The 25,882-nt window shown below is 32.3% G+C and overlaps 1 protein-coding gene and 1 long non-coding RNA gene across 15 annotated transcripts in view; one reads left to right on the top strand and one right to left on the bottom strand.

The window, feature by feature from the left end:
• LOC105369863 (uncharacterized) overlaps positions 1-15,225 on the top strand; it is a 197,856-nt gene extending 182,631 nt beyond the window's left edge. For both annotated transcript variants that reach the window (XR_007063385.1, XR_007063384.1), the window contains one exon: positions 15,093-15,225. This is a non-coding gene — a long non-coding RNA (uncharacterized LOC105369863). The remainder of the gene's footprint in view (positions 1-15,092) is intronic.
• SYT1 (synaptotagmin 1) overlaps positions 1-25,882 on the bottom strand; it is a 588,027-nt gene that overhangs the window by 531,760 nt on the left and 30,385 nt on the right. For 5 of the 13 annotated variants that reach the window (XM_047429479.1, XM_047429484.1, XM_047429480.1 and 2 more), the window contains exon 1: positions 1-25,882. This exon is cut by the window's left edge. The exons of the other annotated variants lie outside the window; for them this stretch is intronic. The gene's annotated coding sequence lies outside the window, so the exon portion shown is untranslated. 13 annotated transcript variants of the gene reach the window in all.

Below are 25,882 nucleotides of genomic sequence, written 5' to 3'. Positions count from 1 at the left end.
ATTATTTCTCTGGTAAGAAGTCATCACTACATTATTAACCTAATTATAGATTTCCAAGATTTTAATTTAGTTTGCACATTTCATTCAAGTCCATTAATAAAGACACATTACTATATATCACTCATAACTGAAAATTTATTTTATTTAAATTTCGGTAGTTAGCTTCACATTTTTCTGCCTTAGTATTTCAAAAAGACTAAATTCCATAGCTCTTTGAAAAAAAAATAGCCCAATGATACTCTACAATATATTGCTACTAATATATGGTGTCTGAGGCTGGCAATGCATACATAAATCAGATCACACATTGATCACTAGGACAATGTATTTGTATTATGCTTGACATATATAATACAAATTATGGAAATGTTCTAGAGTCTTAGGAATTGTGGCACACACAATTAGACTTTCTTGGACAGGTAAAAATTTATTTTAAGGATTTTAAAAATATCCAGAGACGTACTAACACAATACTTTATCTTCTATTCCAACATTTCATGTGCAGGACATTTGCCACTACTTAGCATCCAACACCTTTCTATTGGAGGCAGGGAGTTACAGAAATCTCAAAATATGAGAAATGCCTTCACTAGAAGCCAAAGGAAGCAGTAAATATACATGCAAGTCCCTGGAAGCTCAGACATCGGCATATGCCATGGGAAATGGGGTGGTAATATATACTGCATATATACTACACCACCTTAAGTTTTTGTTTCTTGGCAAAGCAAAGCAAAAATGTAAGGGGAACTAACGATTATTCATGGCAGGACAGCCCAGGGGTCAAAGGCTGTGGCACAGATCGATTGTCAAGTGGAAGAGTTGTAGCCAGACTATTCTCTTGGTCTGCCTGATCCAGCTTTGTGTTCAGCTCCCTGGTCTCACCTGGTATGGAGCTTCCCTTGACATCCTTCAGAAGCTTGGATCTAGCCACCCAGCAGATTCTAGGAGTTCTTTAATAGCCTTCTAACCCATCATTATTTTGCTCAAGGTCCCCAGAGGTAGTTTTTATTGTTCATAAACCAGAAACTTTTATACCTGTCACAACTTTTTTTAAAAAAAATTTAATTACACAGACTTTCATTACAAAAGGAGTAACTTTATTGTCTGTGGAATATTTGCATAACACATAGGAGCACAAAGACAGGAATTAATAATCATGAAAAGTCATCAATAACTCTGTCATCTCAAAGGTTGTTTTCACATCAATGCTTTCCTGGCCTCTTTTAAAATTTTCGTTATAATCTTTCATTTGTCCTGTCTCCACATCTTGATCTTAATTACCATTTTTCTTTCCAAATAAATTAGTTAAGAATTTAAAAATGAGGTAACAATATACATACTGCACTGAAATTTAATATTTAATTTAGTATGTCATAAACATTTCTCCTGAAGATCTTAAAGGTTTTTCTTTACCATCATCATACATAAATGCATGATATTTCTTTGTATGGATGTACTATAATCAGTACTATAATAGTTTGCCATTCAGGACGTATCCTTTTTCTACCCATTATAAGTCACTCTACGAGGAATGTTTTATATACAAAATCTGGCCCCAGTTGGTCTCTCTGTGTATTGCTCTGTTTGGTTTTTTTCTGGGTGCTGCTCTGATGAGTCCTCTGTGAATGATGCATTTGCCATGTGGAGCATTTGCGCTGCTCAGGAGCGCTGTCAGTATTGGCAGTTCTGCCTTTCCCATACATATCAAGAGTTGCATATCCCTGGTTTGAAAAGGGGCCAAAATGTAACCAGCTCATATACCCACAGGGCAGCCCTCCTGTCCCAGAGTCTGTAGCTTTTAATTCCCTCAATCAGTCAACTCTGCCCTGGTATGGCTCTCCAGAAAAAGCAAATTACACATGAATGCTGCATGAACTGATGCTGGCAGTTTTACAGATAGGGATGAGCTTCTTGGCAGATAACCTGCCTGGAATGGAGAGAATGGCAAGGGAAAGGCTGTTTTCACATCAATGCTTTCCTGGCCTCTTCCCTGGAGGAATCAAGCCCACTCAGAGCATGTATGGTGCATAGCCTTGCTCCAAATCTTAATAGAAAAGTTATCTACTTATTTACAATAAAACATGTGTCTTCTGTTGTTTTCATTAAAGCATAGCGTCTGAAAAAGTTTAACCTTTTCTTTAACTTGCTAGCAGATTTAAAGACACCTTAAAAAAATCCTGGCATTATTTTTTATATTCAAGAAGTTACAGAGGCTAATGAACTATTTAAGCAAAAAAACCTGTGTTAATATTGCTTGTACATTTCTGAGCTAAATTATTTTAGGGAGGATTTAATATGACAGTACTTAAAAGCCTTACCAAAGACATAAAAATCTCTTTATTGATGTATGACTTTTAGAATTCCTGAAAGACTTTGTTCCATATAAAACATTAATTCTTAAGAGTTAACAAATTTTGTGTTTTAGGCTATCCAACAACGTAGGCTTTAGTTCTGTCCAAGGCCCAATTCTCGTCAACCTTAAATTCAATATGAGTCAAGATTACAAAACAACCATCTTCAAAGCTAATCTCATTAGGCAGGTTTGTGGGGATGTGTGGGTGGGCAGCAAGGGGTGTTAACGGAAATTTATTCTCAAGAACAAAATTGGTTTTCCTTTTTTTTTTTTTGAAATTTTTTTATTATACTTTAAGTTCTAGGGTACATGTGCACAACGTGCAGGTTTGTTACATATGTATACTTGTGCCATGTTGGTGTGCTGCACCCATTAACTCGTCATTTACATTAGGTACACCTCCTAATGCTATCCCTCTCCACTCCCCTCACCCCACCACAGGCCCCAGTGTGTGATGTTCCCCTTCTTGTGTCCAAGTGCTCTCATTGTTCCTTTTGCTGTGATGTTCAGACTAAAACTGGGTCCTACAGTCAACTTTGGGTATGGAAACTAATTGGGATACATTCAGAAGACAGGATGATAAAGAATTCAAAGCCATGACTCATGAAAAACTGCCAAGAGCAGAGACGATGTAGGAGGATAAATACAACTGTCTTCAAATTCTTGAAAGGCTGCCGTGTAGGGTAAGATTTGTTCTGTGTAGCCACAAGGGATTGAGCTATTGGTGGAAATATAAGAAAACATTTCAACTCAATATAGGAAAGAACTTTCTTTCTTTTATTTCCTACAAAATATAAAAAAAATAGCTCTGCATGGTGGTGCATGCCTGTGGTCCCAGGTACTTGGGTGGCTGAAGTGGTAGGATTGCTTTTGAGGTCAGGGCTTCAATGAGTCATCATCATGCCACTGCACTCCAGCCTGGGCGAGAATTTTCTAATAAAGGACAGGGACAATTGTAAATGCTTTGAGAATTTATATTAAGATTGTAAAAAGAAAAGTTTTCAAGTTTATATTTTTAAAAAAGAAATGAATCTGTGAGAATGGGGGTACATAGGAAATCTCTGTACCTGCCTCTCAATTTTGTCTGTGAAACTAAAAGTGCTCTAAAAAATAAAGTCTTTAAAAAGAAATTAGGTAGCAAAACAGTAAACACTATGGTTTCAATATTAAATATTAAACACGGAGACTTGAACAGAGAATAGAGTTTTAGAAGTAATTAAAAAAGGTTTTGATAGTTTCATTGGGTACAATTAACCAAGTCCTTTATAAATAAAGGATACTTTGCTTATTTTATATGTACACAATAGGAAAAAATGTCAGATGGTTCAAGCGAACAGATCAATAAGTAATAACTAAATTTATTTAGTTGCAAGACTACAAAAAAGTAGGATAAGAGAGAAATAAGTCAATTTAACTAGTCTGAACTTTGAAACAAAAAAGAGAAATAAGTTATCAAAGGAATATTGGTTTCAGTAACCAAATCTGAGCTCTCCTCAAACATTTTTTATTGAAAAAATGTTTTGAATGATACATTCACAATTATTTTTATTATTTACTTCACATGAGAATTTTGTTTTATGCCATGATTTTAATATATTTTAAACAAGAAACCATACGTTTGGCTTAGTGATTTATTCAGACATTTCAATAAAGTTAAATAAGAGAAAATCTTATCTCAGCAGATGAATCCTATACCATAATGTTAATGCCTGTCTGGCAGGTTCAACCACAGAGCTTAACTACTTTACAGCTACAAAACTGATAACTGAAACCGGAGTCTTCCGTTGGGGTTCATTTCTTCTAGTTTTACCCATCATTTTTGGCATGTTCTACCATTTAATTAAAATAAGACTAAATTTCATTTAGGTACAAAAACATCCGATTAAAGTCTAGAATAAATCATCCCTATCAACACAACATAATTAAATACTGGTATTTTAAGTTAGCATTTACAAATACAATTTCTATCCTTATGCATTAGGGAATCTTAATAAAAATATATAGAATTTGGGATGAAAAGTAGATAACAAAGCCCTGAAAATGGTCTCAAGCATAGTGGTTTTCTTTCTCATCAACTGATATTTTTCTTCTTAAAAATATCCATGGTAAGAAGCAGAGTCATTTTAAATATCAATGTAATTGTAAAAGGACATAAAATTTTAAAACATTTTCAAAATTCTAGCCAGAATAAATAGAAAAAAAAGAAATATTGTAAGCTTATTCAGACAAATTTTGTTGTTTTTTAAATAAGAGAAAAATGGCAGGAAAAGAACCATTCAATACATCTATAGATAAAATACAGACAAATACATATATAAGACAAACTTTTTGGCAAGTGTATTTTATTAAATTCAAATAGTGGAAATTATCATTTTGAAATTTGGACAACAGGAAAGAAAATATCTTCTGTGTCATTTCTACATTTTTTTTCTTTTTTGACCCCATTGTCTTGTCTTCTCACCCTCCTTCGAGTCTATCAGCGAGGCCAGAGCTTTTTCATTGCAGCCTGTGGTTCTTAACCTTGGCTATGCATCAAAATCACTCTGCAGGTTTTTAATATTACTTCTGGGGCTATATCTTAGACCCACTGAATTAGGCCCTGAGGAGGGGCCTGGAAATTTGCAGTTCAAAAGTCTCTGCAGATGCTTCTGTAGCAGGGGGTTCAGTGCTTGGGAACCTTTGATCTATTATTAAAATAGTGATCTGACTGCATTTTTACCTGCAGAGTCATTCCCTGCCTTCCAGTCCACCTGGTTCAAGCCACTACTTCAATCTTCCTAAAGCATCTCTCTGATGACATCACCTTTCTATTTTAAAACGTTCAATAGCTCATAGTTGAGTTCCAGTCTATCTTTTTAAAGAGATTACTAGTTATCTTTCAAGGCACAGCTCAGAAGACACTTCCTCTAAGATGCCCACTTTCACCACCTGTGAGAAGTCATCACACCCTCTTTGGAATCCCCAAACATTCTGTATGACTAATGTGGCATTTGTAATCTTCACTTTTGTATTATAATTGTCTGCATATGTACAAACTCTGTATTCTGTGTACATATCTCACAAGTGTACATATTTAATTACATGAATTAATACATAAAAATACATAGAAAACAAAATAATATTCTTGAATTCAGAGATTTTATAAGAAGAAAAATAAATATTCCTAATATAGCACTTAAGCTGAATATATCTTTAGGCAAACATCAAAAGGTATAGGAACCATAAATGAAGTCAAATCAGCCTGAGCTGTAATTCATATGTCTATTTAAACTTATGTAAATGAGGGCATTTAAGTGGAAACATCTGTCTCTCTATCGATCTACCTATCTACCTATCTATCATCTATCGCTCTATCTATCTATACTCACATATCTATCATCTATCTATCTAACATGTGCATCAATACAAACAAATTATAATTTGTTGCTGTTATAGTAGGCTTAATGCATTAAACTGCTTGGTGGCTAATCCATATGAAAACATCTGTGCAGAGGCCATAGACTGTTATCAGAATAGATTCCAGGACAAACCAGGAAATAGAATTTTTCCATTGTGTTTCTAGTCCCAGTTATGCACCTCACTCTTCATTATCAGCACCACAAGCCATCTTTTTCCCACTCACAGAAATAGTTTCCAGGGTATCTTCACTGCAATACCCATTTCTCCAATGTAAAAGATCCACAATCATTTCCCAATGCCCCTTTGAAAATTTACTTTTATATATATATATGTATATCCTCAGAATTTTGATTAGTGATTAATTTGATAGGTGATCAAAAGAATAATTAATTGAACATTAATATCATCTTTTTATTTTGATAAATTTACCTATATTATCTAATTTATAGTCAGAATAACATTGTGAAATAGGTAAAAATTATTATCTGTATGTCACAAATGAAGAAACTGAAACTTAAAGAAATTAACTGATTTTCTCAAGGCAAACCCAATTCAATGCCCTTTACAACATACCCATTTTTCCCAAGATACTTAAATTTTTATGAGACTCCTAGAGACACAATAAATATTTTGGATAGCAAGATACCCTTCCAATATCCCCATGTATGTGACTAGTGATACATAAGGTTGATTTGTTCACCATCTATATCACTGGTTAATGGTTAGACTGTAATTACTATTAGTTTAATCATTTCATGTACCCACCATTGTGTTAAATAAATCACATATTTTACAAGATCAAATAAAAGTTGTAAAGAATCTGATTATCAATCAAGCAAAGCATAAACAAACAACTCATACTGGAAAAAGCTACTTAAATACTTATTCAGAGTAAAGAATGAATGAGGAATTCTGCATTTTATAAAAAATAATCACTGACCTCATTACAGGATATTTTTCAGTTAAACAATTGGAGAAATGAGCATACTAAAGCATTTTTGAAGCATGTATGGATTTTAAATCATTATGAGATCTAGAGAAAAAATATATAAAGTTCCTTAACTATAATAAAGTATTTAATATTTCATTATATAGAAGTTTAAAAATTGTTTCTTGAAGAAATAGAATTTTTTCAAAGTTTATGGATCTTCTCAAATACACAATTAATAAGACAAAAAGAGTGTATTTTGCTTAGTTTAAAATTAACTAATAGCTATAAGTCAATGTTAGATTTTACAATGAGTGTAGATTGATGCAAAATGAATATGCTTAAAAATTATTTTGAAAGAAAACAAAATAAATTCAATAATTAAATAAAACATATCTATGAAGAACAGAGAAATAAAATTTAGAATTTAGTTCTTAAAAATAAGCCTTCTTCATAAGAATTTTAAATGGAAAATCAAGATTATTGTGTACATTTTCTGTGACAAAGTTGAAATGTTCTATTTAGGTAATCTAAGAATAGACTCAATAACATCCAGTAGAAGTGAATATATTAAAAATAACTTTACTTATAATTAGAAGTAAAATATAACTTTCCAGTCTTATGTAAATAAATCTAATAGATGTGTAACATATTTTCAATCAATGGACATTTTCACTTGTATTTATCAATGTAGAGCATCTCTTAGAAAATGCTAGTTACTAAGTGGGTATTCCCAGTGATAATTTGAGGTGAGTTACAGGGCAACCCCAAGTGTGTGAGCATTTTCTCCTGCTTATTATATGAACACTTAGATGTCCTACCAACACATGATGCCCAATAAGCCAATAATTATAATTTTACTTATTTAAAACATCTCCCTTTTAAAGCATCTTTTTTAAAAAGTTCCTGTTATTTCCAAATTCACTGCCTTTACCTTTGCATGCCCCTGTTGATTACTGAGTCTTCAGACTACTTCCATTACATAATGATTTTCATTTATATACACTTCCTAAAATTGATATCCAGATTATTACAATAACCAAACTCTCTTTATTTTTAGACCTTCACAGAGCTGCTAGGAAATCTCTGTTAAATGTTATTTTTTTCAATGCTGCTTTATTCTCCACCACGTCTCAGCCTTGCATTCAAAAGTATCTATCATACCTGTCCTCTCAATGCTATTCTCTTTAACCTTATCTTTATTCATTCTGACATAGCCTTTCTTTTTCAGCAATTTCAGTGTATTTATCATTATCTCATAATTTCCTTTTTCTATTTATCATCTAGTGCCTTGTACAGTACGGAATAAACATTAGGTATTCATTTCTTAAAGAGAACAAGAAGAAAAAAAGAATACGAAAGGAAGAAGATGGGGTAAAAATATATGAATAAATCTATTTTCACTTTGTAAAATATCACAAATGACAGATACACCTAACATTCCATCCCTGATATTATCTTTCTTATATATCCCAATTCTAAATTGTATTTTCCAAGTGTTACAGAGAAAACTTTCAGAAATATGGAAACTCACCTGGGAAGTCATGAATATTGGAAGTCAGACACGATGTCATCAATTATGTTGGACTTTGAGCCTTGTAGAAGACTTTATGATTCTATTAATACAAATTTTTAGGTACTATTGTCAACAAATATTCATCACATTTAGTAATTTAACAAAGTAGGTAGTCCCAATGGGGAGCCTCTAGGACTCCATCACTACCATGTTTAGAATAAAGTGAAAGAAATGAGGCAATCGCAAATGTTTCCCCAGCATTTAAGTCTCCTCACTTTCCCAAGGTGTCACCAACATCATGACCAAAAAGTCTCAGAGAGGCTGGAGTTGTCTTTACTTATCTCCTCACCCCACACCATTGTGTTGACTGGTCCCATGACTGCATTGAAACAGCCCTTGCTGGGATCCCGAAAGACTTCCATATTACTAAATCTAACAGACATTTTTCAGTTTTTAGGTGATCTCAAAGGAGACTGTTTTTTTTTTGATACAGCATCTTCTCTCACTCTTAAACCATGTCTTTCCAGGTCTTCTCTCACATATTTGCCTTATTTTAGTCTTTCCTCTATCAGCTTGCAGGCTTATTCTCGTGTACATAGACATGAAATGTTGGCGCACCCCAAGGTTCAGTCTTAGGCTCTCCATTTTTTTATTGTATACTTTCTTCCACATCCACAGCTTGAATTACTACCTAAACACAAATTATTTTCTCTGAGCTCTCAACCAATATATTCAATTTTCTATAAGACATCTCTCCTAGGATTTATTTCCAAACACATATTCATGTCCAAAATCAAATTCACAGCCTTCCCACACACTCAGTGTGTTTTCTATCTCAATGAATAACACCCACATCCGTCTAGTTGTACAAGCCAGAAAACTCATCTTGACAACAAACTAATCTGTCTACATCCACCTTAGTGCTACTTTCACCTATTTACAACACTGAAGCTTGGATGATAATTTAAAAATCAAATCTGATCATTTTCCTCTCTTGTTCAACACCTTTCAGTGGCCTTCCATTACTCTTAAACAAAATCTCACCATAATCTAAAAGGCCCTGCATGATCTGGCTATGTCTACTTTGATCTTTTCTTACACATGCCTTTCTGCATTGCCTGAACTTCCACATACAGGGGACTTTTCATTCTCTTGTCTGCCCTCTCAATAATTTGCCTGGATTCTCTTTCCCATGCACATTATCTAGGTTATTTCCAGTTTGTCCTTCTGGTGTCAGCTCACATGTACACTACTGGTGAAAGCCTAGATTCTTCGATAAGGTCAAGTTTCCTTACTATGAGCTCTCAGAACACGGTATATTTTACCCTCTTCTGTAGAATTTTTCAGAGTTGTAACTTTGCGTGTTTTTGCAATAATTATCTAATTACTCTATTTGTCTAGACTGCAATTTTCATGAAGGCAAGGGCTTTGCTTGTTGCGTGTTTACTCCCTGTTGCATGCAAAATTCAACAACTTACATTAAAAAATCAATATACACCAATTGAATGAATCAACAAATAAATGTTTGCAGTCTGAACCAGATGGATGTAAATATCTAGGGATTTAAGATGAGCTGAGAAATCAATTAAAAGGGCAGAAAAATCCCTAAGCCTTTTTATTATTTGAGTCCTAGAGTCTAAAAAAGTTAACCCAGGTTTAGTACAAGGCAGTAGGCAGAAATTGAATGTTTAGGAACTGACACACTGGATATGCAATAAAGGAACTATAAGAACTAGGCAAGGAGGTCAGGGTTTAAGTTCATGCTTTTGTTTATCCAATTATTCACTCATCCATTTACTTAGCAAATATCTGTTAAACACCTACTATGCCACATGGACTATGCTAGGCATTTGGGCTACAAATGTAAGATGACAACTGCCCTTCCTTAGGAAGCTTACAACCTAGTAGGTAAATAGTTCTGGGGCCCACTCAATGGTGAGGAAGCAATTTCTAATTTATTTCTAGATATGAAATGTAGTGATTCTTGGATGTACATGAATAAAGCAGGAAACAACAGGGTTGGGGGCTGATAATGCCAAGCTGGATATATGTGAACAGAGGAGGAAGAAGGGGTCAAACAATATTGGAGATGGTACTAGGGCATCAGTAATATCTGATAACTTTATGAATGACTATTATTTAAAGAGAGAGTACATTTTTTAAAAATTGAAAGAACAACCTGTTGTGGGTGGTACTTGACACTTTGAAGACTAAGTTAGAATAACATGGTATTCGATTGCAGTAAAATGAATTACAACAACCAAAAGTGAAATGGATTATATTGAGATAGGTGTTAGTTATTAAAGTACTAGTTTGGTGATGGCAATGTTCAAGAAAACAAGTAGATATTATATTGATTAGTCATTATCTGTAATTTTCCTTCATGGAGGACAATGAGGACAAAATCTTTATCTATATCTATGTCTCTGTCTATCTAGGCTTAGATTATAAGAGGACCAAAATTTAACCATAAGAAAAATATGTCAGCAAATAAGTCTGGTTAGAATGGTTTCTATAACAATTCTCTCTGGATAGAAGGGGGTATACATGTCCCTGGATTTTTTTCCCTATGGATAAAGCATAAGCTTATATTTATTGTTTGTGTTGCAGTTAGAATTTAATCAGAATCTTAAGAGCAAAAAGGAATTATAAATACCGAAAACAATTTGAAGATGTAATAAGAAAAAAAATAAATTATTTTTCTACCTAGAAAATAAGGAAACAGACGAAGCAAAGCAATTTAGAAATAACTCACCCTGAGATGTTTTGTAAATAAATGGATGATAAATCATAGCATACTTTAATTTCATAAAGTAATTAAACTAATCATACACTTATATTAGATAACCATTCACCTTGGAAATATTTACAATAAGTTAATAAAATTGTGAATGGGAGCACAAAAAATGCATGGAGGCTAGAAAAAACAGTAACTGTAATATATTTACTCAGTGCAATGCCAATTAAGATAGCCATTTCTGGGCAGAAATCATTCCATATCCACAGGGAGGAGCAATACAGAGTCTGTCATAAAAGGCAACTTCCATGCCCTCTTTGTCCTGCAGGGATTAGGAATCTTTTGGTTGATTGAAATGCCTTAATTATATATTAATAAAACATGATCTGATTGTTAAATCATTTCTTTATGAAACATATAATAGAGATCAGTGTCCCAGAACCTGATCAATCCCAAATGAAGTAAAAAAAATATTTGATTTTCTGCATATTCCAGATAAGAGGTTAAACCTGGACATGTCATGACTTTACTAAGGGCCAAAATAGTGGACTCTGCCGACTCTTTCCATGAATTCTTTTTATTCATTTCCACTGCAATATTCTATTAAGTCTATTTTATTTATAGAAATATTAGAAGTTGTAATACAGGGTAAAGTGGAAATATTACCAAATAACCACTGGAACATGGGAAAACCATATTTTAGTGTTTGGGGAAAATATCTTGGCTTTAAGTACTGATCATTAGAGCAGAATGATTGACACAGATTCTGCTCTAAGAGTGAACTGTTGAGTTCTGTTCAGTTTTATATTGTTGAGATATGTTCTTATGAAAACTGACAGAGACTGTAGCCTGAGCTTCTGGTTTCTTTGAAGTTGTACCATGTGCCCTTAAGGTAACATTATATTTAGAAATAACATAACCAGTACTTAAAAAAAAAAAGAAAAACTGATCCGTCTTCAAAATTTGTAATTTTAAATTCAGTATTTCAACTAAAATAATGGATTAAGAAAGACCCTCTGTGCTTAGAAATGGGAAATTCCATGAATATTAGTTGAATGAGTAGGATTTTCATGGAATTGTGGAGATTGTGGATATGAGGAAACTGAGGCAGAGGGAGATGAAGTTATTTGCCTCAGGCTGATCAGATAGTGAAGAATCCTTGACAGATTATTTTCCTTGAGTTTCTGAAAACTGGCAAGATGAGAAAAACACACAAAAAAATAAAGTAAGATTTTAATAGCTTGGTGTGATTTTCTATTATTTTGACCTTTAGGCAAAACCAAAATTTGCATACTTTCAGTGTGATCACACGGCTGCTGGCTGATCAATTTCAGATACTTCAGACCCTAGAAAATGTTTGGAGAAAAACTTTTCTCTATATACCTGAGAGGTAATTAAATTACTCATTACCTTCAAAGTATAAAGCAGAGAAACAGATCAATGCTTTGTACAAACAGTCATCTTGATCATTTTGCTTCTATTAAGTCCTAAGAACTTGTGGTTTTGATGATGCTTTTTTGGTTGTAAAGCATAGGCAAACTCACATTTTTATTTCATTTGACAAAATAAAAGGTAGCTTCATGACAGTAATAACTGGGAGGCAGATCAGAGTGTTTGACCTAACGGCACTTGGCATTTTATATTTTGGTTTCAGACAGCTCATCTTCGGATACTTTCATCAGTACATAAGAGAAGAATTTAGTGTTGAATGCTCTAATAAGTATGCAACTTCTGGAAAGAACTGCTTTGACGATGTAAATCTCTAAGAATCATTACCGAAACGTAATCATTTTGCTTTGCTAGAGAAACTCAATCTCTTGGTCCTTAACTAGACAAGTGATATCCCAGAGAGCTAATATATAATATATTATGTAATATATTCTGATTTATACATAAATCTATTTATGTATTATGTAATATATTCTGATTTAATGTATTTTCATATAAACTAATTGATTTTTCCATATTGTATAGGTAATTATGATAATATTATCAAGCTACAGAATGAATCTATTTTATGGGGTGGTTTTTGCAGGCATCCTATTTTGACAGAAAGAATAAATGAATACTTAAGATTCAATTGTCTGCTTTGCCACTTGCTTGCTTTATGAACTTGCATATCTTTTTTTTTCTTCTTTTAAAATGGGAAACATGACACCCAACTGAAGATAATGTTTTAAGGTGATTTTATAAGGTAATGTACCTGAAGCACCTACCACAAACCCAAACAAGAGGAGGACCTCAATAAATGTTAAATTCCCTGTCTAAACACACTTTGCCATAAATGTACACTTTAATAAATACAACATGAAAATCTTATCTTTAAATAATTTACATCAAAAGTTATAGCAGTAGGTATTATTAAAGTGCCAGAATTAAGCTTTTCATGTGCGGTTATGAAGTCTTAATTTTCTTTGTATGCACAAGATATAGCATAACGTTTGACACAGTAGGCACTAAAATAAATGTTTTGGTGATGAGATGTTAACCTGAAAATGACAGAATGATCAATACGGCCTAGGGATACCGTGGTGCTCTAGCAGAGTAAAGATAGAGCCCAGAACACTGCTTCTTCCTGGCAGGACTCTGGTCATTTCTTACACCAGGACAGACACCCCCAGTCTGTCCACGACCTGCATCAAGACAGGCAGAATGAATCCTCTGTTTACTCTAATTTCCACAAGAGGCCAGGACTTCCAGTGTATCCCTCACAACTTGAATGCTGTCGCATGAATTTGTGGCCCACAGACAACTCATGTATTTACTGCTGTTACGGCCTTTTTCCCTTTCTTTTCTCTATAGAATTTTAGAGTCTGACATACTAAATATTTTACAACTTAGTACATCTATCTGCTTCTCTCTATTATCCCATAAACTAAATGAAGGTTGGTATCTTTTTCTGTTCTGGGCACTGCTATATCTTCAGCCCTTAGAATCAGGTACTTGGCAGGTACTCACCAGTATTTGTTAAATACTTGAATGAACTTCCACTTGTCATGAGGAAATACATTTTTCCCTCAGAACATCTTCCTACTTTTTGAATACATACACAAAAGCCTACAATAAAATCAATCACCAGAACTTAATATTTGATTTCATTTTGTTTTTTTTTCTATTTCAAGACTTTCTTAATGTTATAGAAAATAATTCAATAAATCATCTTCTATTGAAAGGAACCTCTTTTATAATTGTACTTTCTAAATACACAAATTTCTTTATATTTATATATTCCATATCTTTATTTACTGGCTTGATTGGAGTATGCTAAAAATAGTGCTTTTATTTCTTCAGATTCCTTGAAATATACTGACAAGGAGACTTACTTCTAAATTACAAATATAATTTTGATGTTACTTCGGTGAAGGGAAAACTCATCAGTGTTTATGAAATATGAGAAGCCCTTTGGGGGAAAAAACTTCCTTGATGCTGCAGCACATATAATTAGAGTAATTTTTCTCCATATTAGAGTTTTAAATAGATTTTACATTATTTACAACACTTTTAATAGCCTTGTAATGTGCTGTAATTTAAAAAAAAATTAAAAAGGTCAAAAAACTCTATCTTTACTTTTCCTAGGTCATTTCCCTTAAAAGGAATAATAGTCCAATGTTCAGGTATTTAGGTTTATTTTATTGAAACTGAAATAAAATGAAAATAAACAACAGTAAGAAAATCAAAATCCAATATATTGTAGATGCCATGTAATAAAAGGTTAGGGGAGAAGAATAGATGGTTTACCTTTCTCCCAACCATTCCTGCTTAAGGAATTTTAGTAAACATAAATTGTATGACTTTGAAGGAAACATTGAATGTAAAGCTGATATTAGTGAGTGTTCAAGACAATTTAGCTATTACTATTACAACTGTTTTCCTTCAATTACCACCGGGACACCACTGTCAACATACAAGTTAGATAATTTGGATAGGGAGAGTTTCCAATTCTCCATGAAATTGGTGGATTCTTACTCCTAAAGCTGATCTTAATGGCAAAACCCATTGTATGTTATGTGGAAGTGTGTAGGTAAGTCAGTTCCCGCCCCCCGCGGGATTTCTGTACTTCTACTAAGAAGGAACTATGGGCTGGCCCCAGATAATTAATCTCTTTAAAATCATGGCAACATGTTACTAAAGAAAGATGATAAACTTTTCTGGCCCACAGAAAACAGGAAGACATTTCTCAAGATTAGAATGGTCCTGGAACAAAAAATTGCCTTACCAAGTAATCAGTGCCTACTATTGGATGTATTCAGGTAAGAACAATAACAACAAAAAAGCTACAGTTTTATGAGATATCTTAGGAGATTGCTTAATTCATATTTGGCCTTCTTATTATAAGATGATTAAATACAATGATAATTGAGACTCAAGATAGGACAATATTACAAACTATTAAATGGATTTAAGTGAAAGTTGATTCTATTTAAACTTTGAAATCTTTTACCAAAAAAATAAAATCTCTTCTAAAACATTTAGTTCTATTATGCCTAATTGCCAATGACAATTATATATATAATTTGATCTTTCAGGTTAAAATTGTATGTATGTTATTAGAACACTAAGAATGTCCACTTGTGTATTTTTATGTTGTATAGACTATGGCTCATATAATATTACTCATGTAATGGAGCAGATTTTGCATCATTTTTGAACAATGGAATATGTATCTCTTCCCTTCAAATGTCAAATAACATTATCTTGCAGCACTTTTCTTTTTAAAAGTTTTCCATATAAAGATAGTTTTTCTGTGTTTCAGGTTGACTTACGTATCATGAGCTACTCTAGAATTAATGAGTTTCATCCTTGGGCAGAGTTAGGTCGAGATACTCGAAAACTGGTGAATAGAGGTTATGATGTTTTATACATCCATGTTCTCCAAAGATCCAGTACATTATTTTTTTCCAGAGTAGGTGCTCATTGAATACTTACTAAAAAATTCAAATTTTATATTTTTACACGTTAATAGTGTCTCTCTTCAATGTATCTAAGCTTTCCATTAGCTTTCCAATGGATAAATCACATGTAACTTAATATAGAAGTATCATAAGGCTAAGTCATATGCAGATCATGACCAATTTAAAATCTCACAAATATTTATAGGAAAACATTGTCTATAAAAATATAAATTCAAATTCAATACACACTAGTGTTTCCAGTTTGTTTTTTAAATTGTAACATTTCACTATAAAAACAAAAATTAGTAAATTTGGTTTATGACTAAATTTTGGTTACCGGGGATTCTAATAACTGTTATGATATATAGCTGTTTAAATTATTATTTTTCTTACTGAATACAGTAGTTACTTGGTTCCATTAATGAGACAGATCAAGTTTTCTGTAATACAGATTCAACTGTGATTCTTTAATAATATGTGATTTTTTAATAGAAAAAAAATAATGGGGTAAGAGAATTGTCCTCTAGCTTAAAAGGTACAAAAATTTCTTTTTATAAAATATGGTCAAAAACTATAAGAAAATTCTTGGCACATTTATAAATTAATTTATGTATAACTATCTTATAATTTGTCATTCAAGATTATGATAAATATACATACCTATTAAATATTCAGAATATTGTAAATCATGTTCATTCAGCAATTTTTGAAATTAATATATGTGTATCTCTTTAACCAATAAAGAAAACCTTTTTATAGAATGCAGAAAGAATAAAAGCCTATTGAATTGTACAGATAATTATAAAACAAGTGTTACATATAAAATATACAAATATTTTATCCAGGTGCGGTGGGTCACGCCTGTAATCCCAGCACTTTGGGAGGCCGAGGCGGGCAGATCACGAAGTCAGTAGTTCGAGGCCAGCCTGACCAACATGGCGAAAACCCATCTCTACTAAAATTACAAAAATTAGCTGGGCATGGTGGTGCGTGCCTGTAATCCCAGGCTACACAGGAGGCTGAGGCAGGACGATAGCTTGAACCCAGGAGGCAGAGGTTGCAGTGAGCCAAGATCGTGCCACTGTGCTCCAGCCTGAGCGACACAGTGAGACTCCATCTCAAAAATATATATACATATAATATATATTTGTATATATATTTTGTATATGTATAAATATTTTGAGATTTTTCTCTTTTTTTAATATAAAACACAAAACTCTTTTTAAGATAAAACACAAAAAAGTATCTACATTTATTTGAAAGATAAATTTCAGATTTGACGATTTTTTATTTTACTTCTATGAACTGCCATACTACTTTCACATGAGGTATAAGATAAATGAATTTTGACAATTTTCTGAGTTAAGAATTGATTCTGTAAAATTGTAGCCAAATCCAGCTGATTTAATACTATGACCCTAATTCCTCTTTCAGAACTTACGTTAGTAGAGTTTGAATAGTTAAGACTTGAAATTAAGACCCTTGCTTTAGTACATAATCTCACAAATGACTTTCAGAAAATGGTGCATCCAGTATGTTTATTTGGAGCTTCAAATTTTTAATAGTGTCAGAGTCTTTCACAGCACGCTACAAATTTCATGAGTATCAGATGTCAAGATCAAACAAAACACAGTTGCCAGTAAAATAACCAACTATCAATTTACTTCTGCTTTACAGTTAATGTGTGTGCACCCACATCAATGAAAAAAATAAACTTAAATTTCTTATGTTTAATTTGATTTTGTATATTTATTTATTTGGTTGTTAAAAAACTCAAGGTCTACCACTTTCTAGAAAAATGAGAAACCTCCTGGAAAAAATATAATAATACTGATATTCATCAATAGTATTGCTATAGTTCAAAGTGAGGGCTGTTATTACTGACAAATTATTTTTTCTTTTCCATATTTTCAGTTTATATTACCTACACTAGTTTGCATCATTGTTTATAAGGAACTAACACTGGTAGATGGCTGTTTATAAATTGTGACCTATTATATTGCCCTATGTGGAAGGTACAGAGATGTCCCTAAGATACACTTCATGTTTTTACTACTCTATATGTTGAGCTTGCTTTCAATTGGATTCTTTACAATTTATGTAAACAAATGTATTGTCATTTTTTCAAGAATCAGTGGGCATAGTTACACACATAAGATCAACACTATGTGTGTAATTGCGATTATATGATCAGCATAATCAGTATTAAAGTATATATATATATATACATATTTATTATTATACTTTAAGTTCTGGGGTACATGTGCAGAACGTGCAGGTTTGTTACATAGGTATACATGTGCCATGGTGGTTTGCTGCACCCCTCAACCAATCATCTACATTAGGTATTTCTCCTAATGCTATCCCTCCCTCCCATCCCCCACCCTATGACAGGCTCCAGTGTGTGATGTTCGCCTCCCTGTGTCCATGTGTTCTTATTGTTCAGTTCCCACTTATGAGTGAGAATATGCAGTGTTTGGTTTTCTATTCTTGTGTTGGTTTGCTGAGAATGATGGTTTCCAGTTTGAAGTGTATTTTTAGGAATGTAGATTATTTTTAGGAATGTAGAGGTAAGGAGGCAGCATCCACATTTCATCCATTAAGAGTACTCTCCATTTTTAAAGATGTTTCAAGCATGTATGATGGAGTTTGATCACATGACTACTGTGAAGGCCAAGCACTCAACAACAACCAGTTGGTGTCTGAGGAGAATTGGATTGGTCTATGATCACCATTTTGCCAACAACTACATGAACAAATATTTGGACTTGTTTTCACAACAGCAAATTATCTCTTCAAATTACCCTCCAATTTACACTTGTGTTACTAGATTGTCTTTTTGCACAAATAATAATGGCTTCAACCACTAAAATCAAAAGCAAAAGTAGGCAAAAGCTTAGTTTTATTAATGCTAAGACAGAAATGTTAATTACAGAGGATATTGAAATATAAAAGACCTCCCTTTGCTGTCTCCAATCCCTTTTGAACTTCTCAGGGGTTTAAATACAGTGTGTGTTTGGCAGACATTCATGTCTGGAAAATGAAGAAAAGGGAAAAAATACTACACCAAAATAAAATCTCGAACTCAGTAACCAACACTAATCTTCATCATTCATGGAAGAAGACTTTCTTTTTGGAAAAAAATATTTTAGGAGGTCCACATTCAATTCAAAGTTAATGTTTTTAGAAAATAAGTAGTTTTATCATCATGAAACATTTCATGATACACTTCATGAAAAATTTCATGACACATTAAATCATTAACCTGAAAAGATATTGTTCACTACTATTCTTTCTGGTTAGAGAAGCAATGGATTAATATAAAATCAAACAGATAGAGATACATATCCATACAAGTTTTAAAAAGTGTGATGTTTTATGAAGGATATAGTGAAATAAATGGTTTAGATTTTGTTCAATTGAATTTTGAAATAACTGAAAAATGCATTCATGTAAAAGGATAAAAAGGAAAATACTATGTCAAATGATTTTAATTGCCTCTAGTGTTCTGACAAACCGCAATGAATTAAAAATTACATGCATTTTGATGGTATTGAGTATTCAAATTAAGAAATAAGAATGTTCACCAACAGGAATCCAAATTCATGTAACTATAAAAAGTATAGAACAGCTATTGTTCCACATAAAAGAAATTTCTAAAATTATAAATAGTACCAATATGCTGTTCACAATTCATGATACTTGTAGTTCAGTCCAGTTCTTTCCATGGCCTACAAGGCCCTATGTGGTGTACTTTGCATGTGCTCTAGCCTCTTCTCCACTTCCTTCCTCCAGTTCTCCATGCTCCACTCTAATGTGCCTTCTCTCCATTTTTCAGACACACCGAGATCAGCTCTCTCCCTTGGAACATTTGGCTCTTTCTTTTGCCTAGAGAATAGGACTCACAATCTTGTAATGGCTGGCATCTTGTCATTGGATCTCAGTTCAAAGGAGACTTCCTTGACTATTCAATCTAAATTGGCCCTGTCTCCCCACATCATTTTCTGGTCTTTCTTATTTTCTTCTCACAATTAAATCCACCTGATTTCACCATAGTTATAATGTATTAACATCTGCCTTCTCCTCCCAGATTTAAGTTCCCTGAGAGCAGTTTTGTTATCTGGCTTGTTCACAAATTTAGTATTAGTAATAGAAGAGTGCCTGGCAAAGCGTCAATTTAAATCAATATTTGTTAAATGAAAGAATAAAATAATAAGTAAATAAACATCACCTCAGTATTTTTTCCATCCAAAACATCTACTTTATCAGAAAACTATGGAAATATAATTATCATTACCTCAGCCTCTCTTAGTCACCACTTACACATTTAATAGCAATTTTCAATGACCATTTATTTGATTAACCTGGTTTGTCACATTTGCGTTTGGTCTTACTGTACAATTACAAGATAATGCTACTTTACTTTCAATAAGGAGTCTATCTATTCATATGACTTTCTAATTTATATTTCTAAAAGTAACTTAGATTAAAAAGTAGGAGCTAAATTCAATTATATAACAAAATTAATGACTTTGCTTCAAAGAACTTCATCTTGGAAAATATTTTGTGTTACCTATAAAATAATCTAGCTATAAAATTATTTTAAAATTCATTACAAAGTTTTGATAAAAAGTATAAAGCATATTGAACTAAGTGTATTAGAGAAAAAGTTTTCACATAGTGTTTTAAGAGCCAGGCTCACAAAATCCAATTATGCTAAGTTTGCGTATTAAACAAAGCACTGAATATTTTTAAGCGCTACATTAAATTTCAAAGAGAAAACTTTCTTGAATAAGAAAAAAGAAAAAACTCTTTTAGGTGAAAAATATTAATATTTCACAAGTACATTTTAGAAACTTTTAAATAGAGTAGATTGTATTTCTCTCCACCCACACTTAAATATAGACATGCATCTTTTTTACCTTATAATACATTCATATGTATTTAATACAAATTATGCACATCTTTTTAAATATAAATAAAAATTATATTTCGAGAATATTATGTATATTTTTGAAATGAAAATTTTTTCCAGGGTTCGTAGCCTTTCATCATTAGCATAATTCCTCTAATTGACATTCTGCATTTCTTAGATTTTCATACTTATTTACTGAATTAGTTATTACATTGCACTCTTAACTGTCAGGCACTGTTCTAGTACACTGAGGGACAAGGCAAAGTTCCCTACACTAAAAACATTCATAATGATTTCAGCAATAATCTCAATTATTAAGAAAGTTAAATGCTAAATTTTAATCTCAGATTTTATTTTAAACTAGTTATAGTTAGTGAGCAATAGTTTCCACTATTAGTATAGTATAAGCAACAATATTACAGCAGAATGTGCCACATCAAAGCTGTCAATAATAAAGTTAATACAGAGTCATGCCAGTGTTGAGCAAATAGTAGACACTCACTAAAGATGTATTGAAGAGATGAATGAATAAAATATCTCAAAACCAACAGGTCATTTTATATCTTTACTGGATTTGCAATCAATTGTTGGAAAACATGCTTTTTAAAGAAATGTCCCATGTTAGCTGATAATTTGTAAGTATCCATTTCAAATGCACGCATGTTAAAAAATTGTGATGTTCTTTTATATTAAAAATATAATTTCTCTACATGCGAAATCACTATTAAAGGGTTTCTTCTTCACTGTAAATTATGCTTGAATTGGCCTGCAGAATCAAAAATATCTGTGCTCCTGTTCTCTAAAACCCAGAGAGCAGTGCAAAGCCAGCTGGCAGAACCTGCTGGCTGTCTGCCATTCTTGTCTGAGGTTGCAATGCAGTCCTAGGGGAAAAAACAATCATGAATTCTATCTAACTAGGGCCATAGAATGGCATTTGTTTCTTGATGGATTGTTGGTCTATTACTAAGACAAACTAGATTAAAGCCATTCAACTACTACTTTCTGTGACTCTGGGAAGATCAGAGGGCTAAGGAAGTTTTGAAAATAGGGATTATGTTGTTTGTAATTCTTTGACACAATGATAAAATAACCAAAAGGAAAGTAAATGTTCAAGCACCAACTTGCTATTTTGACTCTTAATTTTTCCCCCTCAAATTGACAGAATAGTTTTGGCATGGTATAGGGACAACCTATCTAAGATAACAACAAGGCAAAACAATAATAATTTTGCCAGGCATCGTTCCAAGAGTATTGATATTTATTAAGTCACTCTAATCCTCAAAATAAGTCTATGAGGCAGTGCTAGTCTTATTCCAATTTTACAGATAAGACAAATGAGACACTGAGTTTAAGTAATTTGCTCAACATTCTACAGTTATTATGTAGCAAGGGCAAATATCTGAATTCAGAAAATGCATTTTCAACTGTATAGACTTGCAATTTCAGACATTCAAGCGTTTATGAATGCCTTAAGTTTTATTTAGTAATTAGGAGTTTTGGTTAGTGAGGTTTTTCATCTGAGATGTTTCACCCTTTAGGAGCTAAAGGTGAGGAAGGCTGCCTAAACCCAAGCTCTGGGTGGCCCTTATATTTGGTTCATGTCCTAACTTGGGAGTTTCAGCTCTGCTCAGGCAGAGGTGCTGTGTACACTAACTTCATGAAATAAAAACCAACAAAGGCATCAGAGGCTTGGCACTATATTCTCTAATGAACATAATATTTCAAAACCACTGGAAAAAGAATGCCTCCAAATTTTAAATTACCAGTACAAACTTATCAATAGGTTAATTGTGATTTTGATGAGCATTTGAAATGGTAGATGTAAAGCCCTAGCATAGGCTCTGCCTGTAGCACTTAATAAGTTATATATAGATCCTTGTTAGCATTATTGAGCATATCAGCATATGAAATCTAATTTGTATCAGTGTGAAACCATCATCTGACTATTCATTTTAAAGGATCAGGATAAAGTCTCACATATGTCTCTGTACAACAGTCTCGGGCTGTCATTGTTTAGGCTTGCAGAATTTATGTAATGATGAAGATCCACTTTTAGGTTTGGACAGTATTTGAGCCTAATTTGTTAAACAAAACAAAACAAAACAAAACAATCTAGCTTCTGGTCACTGAAAATTTAATCCTACAAGGATAGTTTACTGGGTAATATTCCCATGTCTGTATCTTTGAACCACAGAGAAAGAAAAGTTGCTTTTCTTTTATGCTCAAAAATCATTAAAAGTATCCTGGTATTTGACATTTTTAAAGATAAATTAGGCTGAATATTTTCTAAGTGTTATTTTTAATAAAACATGTATAAAAGCTACTTATGACATGTTTTAGTTTAATTAATTTGAAGGAATTATATATTTAAATGCCAGGTTTGCTATTTTGTAGTCTATATGTATGAAATAGAAGAAAAGTTTAAAATAAAATTTACCTCGAATATATTGCCTTCAGTTGACTATTGACATTGTCATACACTTATATAGATATTTTGTTAAGTCAAAAGAACTGAAGAGCATGATTGTGAGGTTCTCAGACTTAAGGAAGGTAAATTATTTAATTATAGGTTTCCATTTATTGAAAGTAATTTTGCTGTAGAAAGTGATATTTTATATGTTGGATTTTAAGATTCCTTATTATCTTCCTAAAGATATAGAAATCGTAAAGTAAAAACTACTTCCTTTTTCTCTTTTTGTATTCATCAAAAAGAAATGAAGATAATTCAGATATTTTCTTTTCACATAATTTTTAAAATGAAGATATATCATATTTTGTAGTGTTTTAAATGAAAATGGAATTAAATGGGCATGGCTTTCTACATTATAAATAATTAATGAAAATATTGTTGACTGCTAATACTCTAAAGTCTCTGTTTACATGAGGAGAGAGGTTTGGAGATATTTTTCCCCTTGGGGAGGGTGGTTGCTCTTAATTTCAAGTTAAACTCACCTCTTCTATGTTTCAGAATATGTTTGTTCTCTCTTTCCTTAAAAACATGTTTCAGGTAAAATTTTGGGTAATAGGAGATAAATTTTTTTTCCCAATAGATTTATCCTTGTTTTTTGACCACATTTTCTCATTTGTTCAACAGAAAAGGGTAGCTAAAATATTTTCTTTCATAATTTATCCTAAGGCATCTTCCCAGTTATTTCTTTATCATATATTTCCATATATTCTTTCTTCCAAGTACATTTTTCAGTGTGTTTTTCTTGTGATTCCTGTAAGGGCACTAGTTATTCACTATTTAGCAAAACCATAGAAATAGGCAATTTTTTATTCAAATAGGGCAAGCAGCAATTTAAATTAGTAGGAAAGAATAATACAGTTCAAACTTTACATTAAATGCTTAGAGAAAAGAAAATAATAAAGGGATTTGGTGGTATACAGAGTTGGATTTCTAGATATAAATTCATTAATTTATTTACATAGCTCTGTCACAGACTATATGCCAGAAATTGATCCAAGTGCTCTATGCACCACCCAGCTTTAAATTAGGTATAATTATTCTCAGTTTACATTTGAGAAAAAGCTCCCAAATAACTGCATTGCATGGTAACTAAATAGCTGACTTGTCTCCTGTCCTTACGTTTCTCTTACCCATTTTTCTTTCTTCTACACAATTATACTTTTTATAAGGCCCCCAGCATAATACAGTGACTGGTTTCTCTAGGTTGAAACTCCAATGAGTTACAGAATCAATAAACTTCAATTTAGACCATAGATCAAAATATGGACTAAAACTTGAAATAATATTTTAGCAGTTACAATTACTTTTGCACTTTTTATTGTCCTTAATAGTATAGAATTAGCTCTCACTATTCAAATACTTTGCACATTTCACAATCATTCATTTTTGTGCCCGGTGGCTTCAAATATGTTATTATTTAAAATATTTTACATATGGGTAAGTATATAGATCAACAACAACAAATGGAATTGTGTTATGGAATACTTTTAAAAATACTTAAAATTAAATCTTTATCACAAATAAATGAAAATGTGTCTATAGAAATATTTAATTTTTCATATGAAGATGCCATTTTTCAAGCTACCAAATGTGTTTTTCTTTAGTCTGCTTATTATGTGGGAGGCAAACAAATGCTTAGTCTTCAGTAATTGCCAAAACAAATATTATTTTACATTATGCATTTGACAGAATAAACATTATAGTTGAAGAATTTTTGGTTGTTTTATTTAATATGCTGATTACTTAATCCTATAATCCTAAATGTCACAAATTAGTTTTATGAAAAAACACTTTTTTATCTTTGCTCATTTTGTATTCAAAATAATTTTATATCTCAAAAAAGTAATATTCTCATGAGTTACTCATTTCAATAAATATTTATTTTCTAAGTATTTTGCAGGATGGTATGGAAAACCTCAACGGAGAATACATCAAAAATAGTGGCTTGGTCACAATTTTTTTTAGTTTTTAATTTTAGCTTATCTAATTTTTAATTAACAAATAAAAATTGTGTATGTTTATATTGTATAATATGTTTTGATATATGTATATATTGTGGAATGGCTAAATCAAGCTAATAAACATATGCATTACCTCACTGAATTATTTTTTTGTGGTGAGAACACTTAAAATCTACTTTTTAGCAATTTTCAAGTATACAATATACTGCTATTAACCACAGTCATCATGATGTACAATAGGTCTCTTAAACTTACTCTTCTTGTCTAACTGAAATTTTGTGTCCGTTAACCAACAGCTCCCCATCCCCACCTCCCAGTCTCTGGTAACCAGCATTTGACTCTCTGTTTCTATGAGTTTGACTTTTTTAGATTCCACATATTGGTGAGATCGTCAGATATTTGGCTTTCTGTGCCTGGCTTTAAATAGCCGTAATTGTAAGAACTAGCTCATAATGAGTTGTCATCCTTGTCCAAGATCTCTGATAAGCACTTAATATGCATTGTTTCATTTAATCGTGAGGAGTTTATGAAGAGAATCCTATTATTTTGATGCGTATCAAAATGTAAGGGAACTGAGGCTCAATCAGAGTAAAAGAATAAGTGACTTTTTTTTGTGTATGTTACACAGCTAGAAAGTCATAAGGCTTGGGTACAAGTCTCTGCCAGCCTTATTTTAGGCTGTAGACATTTGCTACTACATTATGGTGATCA

Source organism: Homo sapiens, chromosome 12 (assembly GCF_000001405.40).
Source record: "Homo sapiens chromosome 12, GRCh38.p14 Primary Assembly".
In the NCBI taxonomy this organism is placed as follows: Eukaryota; Metazoa; Chordata; class Mammalia; order Primates; family Hominidae; genus Homo; species Homo sapiens.
Note: the sequence above shows the minus strand (reverse complement) of the source record. Positions and strands in the feature narration are given on the sequence as shown.